General features: G+C 45.6%; 2 annotated features.

The window, feature by feature from the left end:
• Positions 13,357-13,951: an enhancer, noted in NCBI's record as "OCT4-NANOG-H3K27ac-H3K4me1 hESC enhancer chr16:65806405-65806999 (GRCh37/hg19 assembly coordinates)". NCBI's record gives its function as "activates a minimal SCP1, AML or CMV promoter by ChIP-STARR-seq in naive and primed H9 embryonic stem cells {active_cell/tissue: H9 hESC(naive and primed)}" and the evidence as "EXISTENCE:reporter gene assay evidence [ECO:0000049][PMID:30033119]".
• Positions 13,952-14,548: an enhancer, noted in NCBI's record as "OCT4-NANOG-H3K27ac-H3K4me1 hESC enhancer chr16:65805808-65806404 (GRCh37/hg19 assembly coordinates)". NCBI's record gives its function as "activates a minimal SCP1, AML or CMV promoter by ChIP-STARR-seq in naive and primed H9 embryonic stem cells {active_cell/tissue: H9 hESC(naive and primed)}" and the evidence as "EXISTENCE:reporter gene assay evidence [ECO:0000049][PMID:30033119]".

Below are 14,548 nucleotides of genomic sequence, written 5' to 3'. Positions count from 1 at the left end.
TAAGTTAATTGAAACAGGGCTCTTTCGGCAGGCTCTGGAGAAACCATATAGATATCTATAGGTTAAACAGAAGGGAGGGTAGTGGCAGGCTGTCCCTGGCTAAGGGAAAATGAAAAGTAAGACTGGTTGCCCTACTTGGGTCAGTGCTGTGCTTTCTTCAGGGAAGACTACAGACAGGAATGAACATTCTGCAAGCTGCCCACCAAGGGTCAGCTTGTCCGGCAGGAAGGACGAGCTGGGGCCATGTGGATGGGGGTAGGTGGGGAAACCATCCCCACAGGGTTGACAAGAATTGCATGCCGGGTTCTGGACAGATATATAGTTATAATTAAGCATTCATCAGACTACTCTCTGGCCCGCTTCCTTGTTGCTAAAATTCAGGCAGCACCAGATACTGACCATTTCCATCCTCGTTTCTAGAGGCAGAATTTCTGACATTGAAATCATAAATCTTCTGTTTAAGGATTGCTTGGGATGTTTTACAGACCCCAAATTCCAGCAACCAGTTTGAAGACCCCCATAGAGGAACAGGATGAGTATGAGATCACGGCTTCTTCCTCTCCATTTCATGACTTCACGCTTCACCCTGCGCTCTTCAACCAATCGATAATCGCCACACTTTGGCCCACTCCAAAACCCTTAAAAACCCTAGCCCCAAACTCCTTGGGGAGATATATTTGAGGTTCCCTCCCATCTCCTTGTTCAGTGACCCTCTGATTAAACCTCTGACTCTGCTGCATCCCAGTGTCTCAGAGTATTGACTCACTGTGTGCTTTGGGCAGTGGACTTACTACACCTACACATTCGTGACTGCTTTTACCATTAAACACCATTTGTTAGATGATTACTTAGTATTCCATTGTGTAATTGAGGAAGCAGAGGTTCAGAATAATGAAGGAGCTTGGCCCTGACACCCAGCCAGGGCTGGGGTTAAAAAGCCCACAGGATCCCTTCCTCAGGCCCCATGGAAAGGTCTGAGTGGTACCTGCCACTTGCTCTCCTTGGGCCAGTCATGGGTCAGTCAGGCTGCTTGACATTCAAAGGTCAGGCGGGAACAAGCCGAGGGGTCAGTAGCCCATCCTTATGGCACCTGATGTGCGGCTGCACACAGCCCTGGGGTCTCACCCCTCCTTCCTACATCTCACCTTCTTTTCATCGTCCTATCTTCCAACATACCCCGCAGAGGACCTGGGATGTCACAGGGGAGCTAGATGTCTCAGAATTAGAACGGAATCGAGTTCAATACTAGATAGGCAGCTATTGATAGCCTGGAGGAGAGCAGGAGGACTGACAAGCTAAGACCCCAGGGGAGGGCTGGGCCATGTTCCCATAGGGGCTGGAGGCATTGCCTGGCTTTCCCAGACTGCCCTTCATGACTGCAGGTCATTTTCTCCTGCTTTTGTCTCCATTTCTCCCCTATTCTATGCCGGCCCCTCTGACATTTTTTCCTTTGGTCCATTTTTCCCTTGTGATTCCATTTGCTTTTGAGTTTCTTGTTCTCTTCCCTCCGCTCTACACATTGCCCATCCCACCTGACTCCCCTTCCTTGCTCCCCTCTCTGGCCATGCCTCTCTCCATCCTGGCTGTCTCTCCCTGATTCTCCCTGTTGCCCTCATTGGCCCCTTTCCACTCTGCTTCTGCCTTTACAGGCTTGGCTGGGTCCACTCAGCCTCTGTCAGAAGCCACCACCCTCCCTAGCTCGGGTCTGTCTTGCCTTGGATGTCTAAATCCCTGGGTGCTGCTGCCTGATGGCTCAGTCCCTGGCCCCAGTGAGGGCCTCTCCCTCCCTCTCTCAGCCGGGCCATTTGCCCCTGACCCCTCTAGGAGGAAATCTCAGCCTGGACATGCTGAAGAAGTCCCCTCACCCCACAAGATGGGGGGCTCTCACTCTGAGAGTGGAGGGAGTCAAGGAGCAAGAAGCCAAGCTGTGTGAGCTTGACCTTGCCTCTGCCCTTGGCCATCTATAGGCCTCCCTTCCAGAGGACTCCACCCGAATCCACCTACCTCCTGCATAGTGTGTGTGAGGAGCCTTGGGGGACCTGCCATCCACACAATGGGTCCTCCACAAATGCCATTCTTCTGTGTCCTCATCTTCTGTCCTGGGGGCAGCCTTTTATGGTCTCATCTGTTCACTCAGTCTGCATTCAGCGAGCATCCATGGAGCACCCATGAAGTGCCTGGCATCATGCCAGGTACCATCCAACCCCTATAAAGTGGGGAACAAGCCGGGATGTCTCCTCTCATCACAGGACTCCTGTTCTATGGGCAAAATCAGACAGACAGATGATAGCTGATGATGTCGGGGTGCAGACTCTGTGATCATGGCATCTCCCTGCCAGGAAAGTATAAGGGGTGCAGGCTCTGGGGAGAGTGCACGAGACCCCTGAGGGCCTGGGTCAGTGGGAGGCACAGCCAAGTCAGCACAGCTTAGGAAAGCCTGCCCTGGGTACATGCTCTCTCAAGCTGTGATGCTGGAGGATGTATACTATTAGATTTTCCTGGTAAAGGAGTGGTGTATTTATTGTGGAGGCCCGGAGAGAGGAAGGAGAGTTGGAAATTGTCCAAGCAAAAGGAACAGTTGCTGTGAAACTTTAGAGGTCAAGGAGAACATTTCTCCTTGTTCCCCAGGAGAATATACCTTTATCCTTCCAGACTCAGCCCAGCCTTGAACCTCGGTCCTTCAAGTCCCTATAGCTCCTTTTCCTAGTCCTCCAGAAAGAGCCTCCATCACTGCCTCTCAGTGGGTCTAGGGTCTAGTCCCTTCAAGGAACAGGAGCCATCTCATCTCTGATATCCCAGAACCTGACACCAAACCTGGAACATAATCAACTCTCAGTCAGTAAGTTCTGATAGATAGAGATGCATGGGTGGAAGGATGAGTGGATGAATAAAAATAAATAAATAAATAAATAAATAAAATAAAGGAGCTCCAGGCACAATCTGAACTCTGAGGCCACCAAAGCTTATCCCATCTTTCCCAGGTTCCTTCAGGACACACCAGTTCTTTCCAGTGTCCTGGGAATCTGGAAAATGCTAATCCATCATTATCTCAGGCTGCAAAGAACTCCTTTTTCTCCCAAGAAATCAAATGAACCCTCACATGTTGGGTGTGTTTGCGCGTGTTTCCTGCAAGCTGAGGCATGGATTTCGAGAAGTAATCAATTCCAATTGATTGGCATTGTCTCGGCCAACTTTGGATGGGAAAGTTCATTAAAAGCGGGCCTCTGGCAAGCCCGACACCCCTCAGTGCTGCGGTAATCAGGGCTTCATTATGCCAAGCAGCAGGATCAGCCCTAAAGAGTCCCTGGCACGGTTTTGTGGGGACTTGCCCATCTGCAGCAGCATTTTTTGTAAATGAGTAATTTGACCGTGATAAAAATCCACAAGGAGCTTTCCTCAGCTTGGCCAGTGAAGGGCTTGGAGAGAACTCAAGAGAGAGGAGAGCGAGCTCTTTGCTGGTGGAGCAGACACCCCATCCCCTTCCTTCTCCCTGCCCCACCACACGCTCCCCTGGACAGAAAGAAATTTCTTGGCGTCACCATTGGGAAAGTGTTAAGTGCCCCTGGCAGACAAGGGGCCTCCTGTGGAGCCCCATGGTCCTTCTGAGGGGCAAGACAGGTCTCTTTCCAGTTGTTTGCTTTCAGAGGCTCCAGAGGCTCCATCCAGGAAGGTGTAAATTTCTTTCTGAATTTGCACAGGGCAGCAACTTCTGGAAGTCATCAACTCTGGAAGCAACTGGCGCAGGGCTCCCTTAATGAGTGCACCAATCCCAGAGCAGGAGTCTGCTTCTAACCCATATTTATAGGTGTCTGTCATGTGCCAAGCTCTGTGCTGGGCTTGTCAATGTGCATAGCCAGGCTCTCCTTCTTTACAGCAACCACCAGAGCTGGAGGTCATTGAAACTGATTTTAAAACAAAACTTAGTTATTCAAAAAAAAAAAAAAAGAAAATGCTCATGTGGAAGTACTAAAAGTTTATGCAAAACAAATGTTACGATTTTCTTAAGACATGGAGCTTGGGAGGAGGCTTTGAAATTTTACTCTACACTCTAAACATATCATTCATAATTCTAAGGAGTGGTTACTGAAAATGCTTATTATAGAAATTTTGGAAAATAAAGGTGAAAAAGAAAAAAAAATACCACTAGTTAGAGATGATAAACATTTCCATTTTCATCCAGTAAACTAAGTCTGAAATGTACCCATGTTAACATAGATAAATGGTGAGCTAGGATTTGGCTCAGATTTTATAGTGATTTCTGCCCCACCAGGGTTTCTGAAGATGTTTTCTACATAATACTTGGTCCTAGGAAAATTTCTGTTAGAGGGAATAAAAAGATGCATGCTCAGATAAGACTGGAATATGGTGAGATCCATGTCTTATAATTGACAATTCACAGTTTGCTTGCAGTATTTATTTGCTTACTGAAGGCTATGAGAAGTCCTGCAAACTTACATGAAAAAAAAAAAAAGAAAAAACCCTCACTACCTCCAATTCCTATTAACCTACCTACATCCTGCCAAACTCATTTTGAAAAGTGCATGGTACCTCTTGCCCATGACCATCCAATCTCATCCTTCCTTCCACTTGAGTCTCTGAAGCCTTTGTGGGCAGGTAGGGGTTCCATGGTCAGGGGCAAGGGAGAAGTGCCCTCCAGAAAGTCACTGCTAGGAGGAACTGTGGGAATCTTATTGGCTGTTTCTTTTCTTTTCTTTCCTTTTCTTTTCTTTCTTTTCTTTTCTCTTCTCTTCTTTTGTTTTCTTTTCTTTTTAATAGAGAAGGAAACTAAGGAAGAGAAATGAGAGTGACTCACCCAGCATAACAGAAGAAGTAAAAGATAAGACTGGAATTTGAACCCAAGCCTCATGAGCAGGACCTGGGGTTCCTACCAGATGCAGCTTCCTGCTCAGGCCAAAGGCTCAGGTGACATTCTGACATGAGGTGGCGCCTGGCTGGCCTGGCTAGGATCTCTCACTGGCTCTGGCATGTGTAGGTCTTCAGCAGAATCAGATCATGAACTCTAATGTTCAGCAGCAAAAATACACCAATCTGGCTGGCTGGTTTTGCTTTTTGTCACATAGTAGAAATTATTTCTGGACCTGGAGGATGGATGGGGCTGCTTCTGCTCAGTTTCTACTAGCCCACACTTTTCCCCATGGCACATCAAGTTGGGTCACAGCAGAGACTGGCTTGTCCTGGGGCATCCTGTGTGCTGTGCTCAGGGTGAGGGGCTCCTGCCCTCATTCTGCTCCATGATTCAAGGGGTAGATAATCCCATCTCTTTAACCCTCTGGAGAGGGCCTGCATTTTTGAGAGGCCCAGGCCCCAGAATCCATCCCCATCTTCTATGAAATCCCATCTATAAACCATCACTGATCAATATCTTTGAATTCCCAACTCTTTTAGCTGCCTGCAGGGATTAGAGATCCCACAGCCATGAATTCACCAATTTGTTTTCCCCTCTTCCACTGAGCATGATCTAGAAGCCAGGAAGCATCTAGACATAGAAATCCAAAAGCAATATAACATCTAGTTGGGGACGGGTGTATAAACCGCTCAGTGAGGTAGGGCCACTGACAGTGCAAAATTGGAGGTACTGGAAGGCTCAGTAGGACCCTCCAGGAAAGGAACAATGGGATGGATTTTGAAGGGTGAAGCAGGTTAATTTGAGGAAGACAAGAGGCTAGGCTTTCAGTGGAAACAGCTTAGCTAAAGGGGTAGAAGGGTCAAACAGCACATCTGGGGCCCAATAGTAGCTTGGATCTGGGGGAATGGGCTGGTTTTGGAGCAGAGGCAGTAGATGCATCCTGAGTGGTGGGAAGGGGTCAGATATTGAAAGAAGGGTGTGAATAAATGCACGTGCAGAAAATCCTCTGCCTCTGCAGTGTAGGAGGATGGATTGGAGGCCCCCCCCCACCAAGGGAATGAGGGAGAACCAGACAGAAGATCCCTGCCCTAGACCAGGGGATGCCTGGGACAGTGACAGAGCAGAACTGAGACTGTTGTGGAAAGGGCCATGCACCTGAGGGGTAGAAGTGAGAGAGGGTGTGGCCAGATACGGGGAGTATTGTAGGGAAGGCCGAGGTCAACTTTAGTGTCTCCAGCCTGCTTGGCTGCAGAACGCAGACCATGGTCTCAATTTCACATAATTTTCTTCTTTCCACCAAGAATGAGCCACTAAATGCACAACTAAAAATGATTTGATAGCTACATCTTTGAAAGTCTTTTTCCATACCTTAAATAAGCAGTCAGGCTGGGTACGGTGGCTCACACCTGTAATCCCAGCACTTTGGAAGGCCAAGGCAGGTGAATCGCCTGAGGTCAGGAGTTGAAGACCAGCCTGCTCAACATGGTGAAAACCCATCTCTACTAAAAATACAAAAATTAGCCAGGCATGGTGGCAGGTACCAGAAATCCCAGCTACCTGGGAGGCTGAGGAAGGAGAATCTCTTGAACCCAGGACGTGGAGGTTGCAGTGAGCCGAGATGATGCTGCTGCACTCCAGCCTGGGTGATAAGAGCAAGACTCCATCTCAAAAAATAAAATAAAATTAAAATTAAAATAAAATAAAATAAAATAAAATAAAATAAAATAGGCAGTCATATTTTTAAATACCAGGTCTCAAACGGCAGCATAACACAGGCAGGGTGGTGAGGATAGTGCACACTGGGTGTAGACCATAACGGAGAGTTGTGTCTGCAGAGCATTTAAACCCAGTAACACAACAGAATGCACTCTCTGCCAAAATGTCCTTGGTTTTTGGGTTTGAATATCCAGCTACCAAGCTTACTGACTATTTTAAGCTAATGCCATTTAGAAAGTCTCGTACTTTACTAGTCGAAGCCCTGGAAACACCCCCGTTTAGCAGGCTACAAAGTCTGGATTTGAGGGCTTTTACGCTATTTCCTCAAGAATATTTTTTAGATCTTCACTCCTCACTTGTACAGCCCTCTCCCACCCCACACCTGCCCCAGATCTTTAGACTCCAGAACAAATTGCCTTGCCAAGCGGGGAGAGCATAACAGCTTCTCACTAGCACATTTTCAGGCATATTATTGACCTGGCCTCTGGCCAGGAGGAGGCCCAGCCTCTCTCCATCTCAAGGGAGGCATTCCTAGGCCCTAAATAAACCTCGTAAGTCATGCAAATGCTCCCAGAAAGAGCCCAAAATGTTTGGTCTTTCTCTAGGGCAGCAAAAATGGTTCACGAGGAACATAGTAAATATCACCCCTGGTGGGTGTCGCGTCAAGGGCCTCTCGGTATCAAGGCTCTAAATAAAACTTCATAGAGAAGGGAGGGAGTCCAGGGGAGTAAATGAGGGTGGTTCTTCTAGAAAGCATTTTTAGGGTACTTCCTGAGAAAGCAGAACCCGACAGCCGGCCCTGAGGAAGGCAGGGTTGAGGCTCTCCTCTGACAGGGCTCTAAGGCCTGGTTGTAAATTGCAGGAGAGCAGGGGAGTCTAAGGGAGCATCTAGTAGCATCCTCAGCCATCCTTGCAGCTGAGGGTCTCCTGCCTTTCTTCCTAAACCCTCATAAGAAGATTTTAGTGTGTTGATTTGGGGGTAGAGATGTCAGTGGAGTGAGGATAGGCCAGGGGCAACTGGATGCAGTGACTCAGCACCCACCAGAAACATTTTCTATGTTTCTCCTGAACTAAAGTCTAAGTTCCTACCTGGACTCTAGGCCCTGGTACTCTGGTTTGAGTCTGCAGTGACATCTGGGCCATGCCCATCTTTCAGGTGCCACCTAGGCCCAGATTAGAGGCTGAAAATTCAGCAATTGTTATCTGCAGATGTGGGATTTGTCTTTGATGGTTCAAGACAAATCACCCTCAGGTCAGCTTGCTCCTGCTGGCAGTTCTTCCAGCAGCTCAACTCATTCAAGTCATTCAAGGCTGGAGTCCCCTCACCCTCACCCTCACCCAAACTCCACATTTGCACACATTTGTTTAACCAGTGGCAACCCTGTGGGTGAAAATGACATCTTGTCATTGCTTCAATTTTTGTTTCCTGATTACCGTGAGGGCAAATATTCTTTAATATGCATGAGCTGTGTGTACTTCTGTTTCTGTGGATTGCCAATATAAATCCTTAGGTCATTATTCTGTTGGTTTATTTAGTCTTTTACTTATTTATTTGTAGACATTTTTATGCGTTCTCATCATTAATCTTTTGTCTGCTATATATTTTGAAAATATTTTTCACCCAATTTTGTAATCCAATGTTTTACTCTTTTCACAGCATTTGTGTTTGAAAAGCCCTGATTTACCACAATATTATAAGTATATTTATTTGGGTTTTCTTTTAATCATTTGATATTTTTACTTGTTCAATATTTGACACTTTAATAATTCTGAGACTTATTTTTGGAAATGATATTAGGTCGGGAGTAGATAGGCATCTATTTAGTTACTTATGTCAAATGAATAGCCAGTTGTTCTCACACCATTTATTGAATTGCCCAACATTTCCAAATTGATTTGAAATGATTTCTTAGTCATGGAACATGTACCTATATGTGTTTTTAAAGTGTGTATGTGTAGATATGCATTACACACACAGATATGTGTAATATCTGTCTATACAGATTATCTGCACATAATTTTAGTGGAAATATGGATAGATGGAAAAGGCTGTGGCTTTGGTGCCACTTTTGAGGTCTTTGCATTCATCAGCAGCATAACAAGCCTTTGCTAAGTCTATATTGCTTGTGCATATTTAATAAATGCGTATCTTGTGGTTGTTACCTGGAGTCTTTGCCTTTTGGGAAGTCTCATTGCCTAGTGAATAGGCACACATGGGTAGGTTTTAAATTTAAGAGACTTAGAAATAATTGAATCAGCATCTAAAATCCTGGATTGGATCCTGGAAGAGAAAAAGACATTAGTAAGAAAACTGATGATATCCAAATACAGCCTGTAGTTTACTTAATGGTATTGTACCAATGTTACAGTCTTAGTTTTGACAAATCTACCATGACTATTATAGGACCAGTAAGTTTGTATGCCTTCTGTACAGTAACATACCAATTATACTGAGACAGCAGAGTCTACAGCAGAGAAAGAGTTTAATGATTGCAAGGTGCTGAGTGAGGAGATGGGAGGAGATCCTCAAATCCTTCTCCCAGAGGAGTTCTGAGATGGAATTTTTGAGGGATAGTGGAGGATGAGGGACTGGAAAACTGGGATTGTTGATTTGTTGGAGCAAGGGGGATGAAATCATCAGGATGCAGAAATTGAGTTATTTGGTGAATAAGCTCCTGTGGGTCCTTCAGACCAGCTGACATCAGTAGTTTCACTGGTACACAGGACCTGAAAGAATGTCTAAAAGGGAAAACAATGTTTTATAATGTTCAAGTTATCTATAGAGCAGTTAAGGGGGACGATAACCTTGTTGCAGGGTCTATGTGATTCTAGGACAATAGACACCAAACAACTATTAGGAAGCAGGTCAGGGAGCAGGTTTAGGATTAATGCTGAGTAAGCTGCAAGCCTGGCTTATTTTCATTTCTCTCTCTCCCTTCTGCCCTGATTAATTTATTAATTGTATAGTTTATAGGGACAGTTTCATGACTATGGAAGGTGTTAACATTGGGGGAAGCTGGATAAAGAACCTATGGGAACTCCTCATACTATTTTTGGAAATTTCAGTTAATCTAACATTACTTAGGGATAAAAAGTTTATTTAAACTCAAAAAATTAACATGCAAAGTTAATGTTACAAAGAATATGCAATTATGAGTTCCTCTGGGACAACAGTGAATATGTCCCAGAAGAGAGGGGCCGTTTGAAGTGTGTGACTTCACCAAGTCTCCTCACCAATTTGGTTCTTGCTTCACAAAACAGAGGAACAAGTACAAGATGATCTCTGAAGCTCCTTCCACATTTTGGAGGTAGAGTTATTTGCCCTATTAGAAAGTCCTCTGACTCAAAATTTCTTGTGCATCTGTGAATTTTACACTCAGTAGATGCTTAATGAGTTTTGGCTCCAAGCAAGCATAAGTCATCAAGTTATAATGCTGAAAGAACCAGGAGTTTGGATCAGAAGAAAATAGTTTAATTGCAGGTCAACAAGCTGACCGGCTGCTGCCCTTTGGTGGGACACTTAGCCTCAGTTTGCTCACCTGTAAAATGGGGATTAAAAACGTTTTGCCTCCAGGGCTACTGTGACAATTGAACATGGTAATGTGTATGAAAAACCTTCCTGTCAGTACCTGGCATGTTGTCCTTGCTCAAGAGACACAGTTCCTTTCTTTTCTTCCCCCACTCTTGCTGCATTTTAACTCCTATTCCGATTAATACAGCTGTGCAGTAACCCTGTTAACAGCCAAAATCTCATTTAGAGTTTCTCATCATCATCTTCCAAACTGTCATATCACTCATTGCTTACATTTCTTTCCGGTTGCTGGGGACAATAAAGCAGGCAAGACGTTTTCACAGTAATTCAAAATGTGATTTTTCCAGGATCATATTGCATGGGGAGGCCATCTGAGTTGAAAGGAATTTTTAGTTGGTTCACTGTCACAAATAGAATAACGGGAAATAAAACAAATGAGACTCAGGCAGTACACCAGCAGTGTCAAATTTCTTAAAAACCAGATAGTATGTCCTGGGAGGTTTAAATATCAGCCCCACTCTGGATGTAAAGTGAAGACGTAAAAGCATGAGATTTGGCAGGACCCCAACATCACACAGCCCCCAAGAGAAGGCACCAGTCCCATAGACTGCCTGCAAAAGGCGCCTCCTGGATTTGTGCAATGTACTGCATCTAGGGGGCATTAGGCAGTTTCAGGGATACATCCTGGCTCCATGGGGCACCAGTTGAGTGACTAAGTTACTGAATCCCTCTACATTTGACATTGCTATTTGTAAAATGGGGACAGGATTAAATGAACCAACAGGATCTATAGCACCCACTGCAAGAGAATTTTTTCATGAGCTCTTGTTAAAATTAGTTACATAGAATATATTTCTAGGGGCCAAATTCTGAGAGAGAAGCCTTCAGGTGACCTTAGCACTTTAGTGACATTCTACTTCTCAGGCCAAGTGTTCTGCACATGGGTATGAGTTTTATGATTTTGCTTTATAACTTGTATATACCTAATATATACTTCATTGTATATAAAATATTACATAATTTAAAGAATCCCAAGGCAACCACTCTGAAAGCAAGTTTATGTTAAGAGGTTTATTGAATGGTAAAAAACAAAACAAAACAAAACAAATCCAAGACAGATACCGATCATCAGATGCAGAGACAGCAAAAAGACACAGAAATTCCGTGCACCATTAAGCTTCAAAACCCATTCCATTCGCACTGAGCAGGTGTGGTTTTCTTCCCTTCCTCCCCAGGTGTGGCGGGCCGTGGGATTGGACTTCTGTGTCCACCTCTCCCATCTGTGCACAGCTTAGCACTCAGCTTGTTGCTCCCAGCAATGCTGGCCCTGGGGCAGGGGGAGTATGCGAATGCGGAGTGTTTTCCTTTGGCGGGAAGGTCATTATCGGTCTTTCCTTCTTCTTGCTTTTTTCATCTAAGGAGGAAGAACAGCAAATCTCCTCAAAGGGTCTTTTAGCACATGGAACTCCCAGGCCACCCCTCTCTCTGCTACCTGTTTCTATGTCATGTGGTCTTTATATCTATGTAACACCCCCAGCACAAGGCACTCAACAAGGACTCACAAGGATTCATTTCTTTTTCCCATTTTTGACAGGCTCACTCTCAGTTTCTCCAGCTCTGAAATGGGAGCCCCACCACCTACTTCAGAAGGACATTGTGACAATTCCAGAAAGCTAATGTGGTCACCCCCAGCATGGGAACTGGTACAGAGGAGACAATGCAGAGACAGATTCATTTCCCCGGCTACCCTAGCTCTCCCGCATGAGTGGGCCATTTTGCCCTTTGGGGGCCTCAGTATTCCCATCTGTCAAGTGGGCATACCCATTTCTGCCTATTTGTAGGCCTCAGAGCTAGAGATGGAAGGGGAAGTGCTGGGACAGGTGGAAAGCATCCTCCTGAAGTTCCAGTGGTGGGGTGTAAATGTCCCCAGAGTTTTGAAGCATCTGTCCATGCAGCTTTCTGATGGCCCACGTGTCCCTCCTAGGTTATGGAGTCATTGGTCATGATAGCAGCAGCTTCACAAGTCCCCCTCCCCATCAGCCCAGTCATCCTTTTTTGTTTGTTTGTTTTTTGAGATGGAGTCTTGCTCTGTCACCCAGGGTGGAGTGCATTGGTGTGATCTCAGCTCACTGCAACCTCTGCCTCCTGGGTTCAAGCGATTCTCCTGCCTCAGCCTCCCGAGTAGCTGGGATTGCAGGTACTCACCACCACACTTGGCTAATTTTTTTTTGTATATTTAATAGAGACAGGTTTTCACCATGTTGGCCAGGCTGGTCTGGAACTTCTGACCTCAAGTGATCCACCTGCCTCGGCCTCCCAAAGTGCTGGGATTATAAGCGTGAGCCGCCATGCCCGGCCCCAGTCATTCTTTTACCTTCACTTCTGCTCAGCTGCTTGGCTTCCAGGTGAAGGCTGAGCTCACAGGCGTGGAATCTGACAAGATGAAAGTGCTCTGGGGGAATCTGTCATTCGTGGGCCAAGGGTCACAAGGAGGTCATGGCCTCTTTCTCCTGCTTTGTCTCAGAGCCAAAGGCAGCTCCTCCGACTCCCATCGCCTGTCCCTGGTCGCCACAGCTGGGAGTTCTCCTTGCATCTTGGCTGTGACACTTGACACGATTTGCAACATATGGAAATCAGCCTCTGTCTGCCTGCAGAGTGGTTTTCAGTTTTCAGGCCCCAGAAGGTGTCGGAATGCAGACCAGTCTCTCTACTGCTCTAGAGAGCAGGCTGTGTTCACAACACAGGTCTCAAATAGCTTGTCAAAATTGGGAAATGGGGACAGCAGGGAGCCACCTGGGACTTGTGGCCTTAGGAAAGCGAAAATCCACAAGGTGTCTTCAGGGTGAGACAGAGGCAGGCACCTTTTCAACCCTCCTGTTACTGCCTGCAGGACACCTCGCTAATTAAGCTGCCTTCCCTGTGGCTGGTCACATTCCTTTGATCTGTTGGTCCCACCTGGGCCAAGTTTTAGCTGAATGACCTTGGCCAAGTGACCTAACTGCCCTGAACCACAATGTCGTCGTCTGTATAAAAGAAGGAAACCATGCCCTGCTGAGTTATTTTGAGATGAGAGTTAATGCATGCTGTAGGGGAGGAAAAATAATTCTCTTCTCTGCCCTTCATGAGTTCTCAGCTGGGACTCCTTGTACCAAAAGACATATTAGCAAGAGAAAACCAAACAGAAGTTTAATAGGAACATGTATACATCCTGTATCCATGGGAGTTAACAAAGTGAAGTGAATACACCTCTAGATTAGATCTCAAAGAGTTGTCTCAGACTTCAGGCTTAAATACTTTCTGAAACAAGGCCGGGCACGGTGGCTCATGCCTGTAATCCCAGCACTTTGGGAGGCCAAAGCAGGCAGATCATGAGGTCAGGAGCTCGAGACCAGCCTGGCCAGCATGGTGAAACCCCGTCTCTACTAAAAATACAAAAAATTAACCGGGCATGATGGCACGCGCCTGTAGTCCCAGCTACTCGGGAGGCCGAGGCAGGAGAATTGCTTGAGCCTGGCAGGCAGAGGTTGCAGTGAGCCGAGATCATGCCATTGCACTCCAGTCTGGGCGACAGACAGAGAGTCCGTCTCAAAAAAAAAATAAATAAATAAAAATAAAACACTTTCTGAAACAAAGAAAGTTGTGGGAAAGGTAGAGGGAAGCCTGATTAAGACAAGGTGGCTAGGAATTCACCAAATCACGGTAAAACAAAGGTAAGGTTTGTTATGCAGATTTAAGTAAGTCATTGCCTTCTCCATTGATTAAGTCTTCAGTGATTAGTTTTCCCTCTCTCCCTGGTACAGAGAAGGAGACACCCTTACAAATGGAGATTTCCTTTCTAAATGTAAATTTCTCTGACAAAAGAGTTAACTTTCTGACGGCTTCTCCTGTGTCTGCAGTTTCTCAAAGTAACAGGTCGAAATTATCCTTATACCAAAGAGGCATATTTTGAGGTGGCACGTGCTGGTCTCCTACAGTCATATTTTCAGATGGTGTGTCCTGAACCCCATCAATGTGGAATTCCTGGCAGCCGGCCAAAGACCCAGACTGTTGGAGTTACTGACATTGGTGCTTTGTAGAGTTGTCATATCTCCAGCACATATAGCTTGAATTTTGGGGGACATTGTGGGTATTTGATGACTGTTTGATTATTGCCTGTATAAATTCTGAAATCTGAAAATGGGAAGCTGGAAGAAATTTTGAACTGAACTCTCTTTGCTCTTTTTCAATTTGAGATACATTTTCTGATTTTTAAGACTCATGGTATTAAAGAAATTAATTTCCTACCTCTCTTATCATTGAAGTAATACCACATCTGTTTGCTGAGCAGCCTCTTGAAGGCTGCATCTCCTTTCTTTGTTCATCTCCTCATTGATGATTCACTGCAAACTCACCCACCTGCTCCTTAGACTTGGGTTCTGTGGACAAGTGTGATG

The sequence above is a fragment of the Homo sapiens genome, chromosome 16 (genome assembly GCF_000001405.40).
Source record: "Homo sapiens chromosome 16, GRCh38.p14 Primary Assembly".
Lineage (NCBI taxonomy): Eukaryota > Metazoa > Chordata > Mammalia > Primates > Hominidae > Homo > Homo sapiens.
The sequence above is the reverse complement of the archived record's forward strand: the minus strand, read 5'-3'. Positions and strand labels throughout refer to the sequence as shown.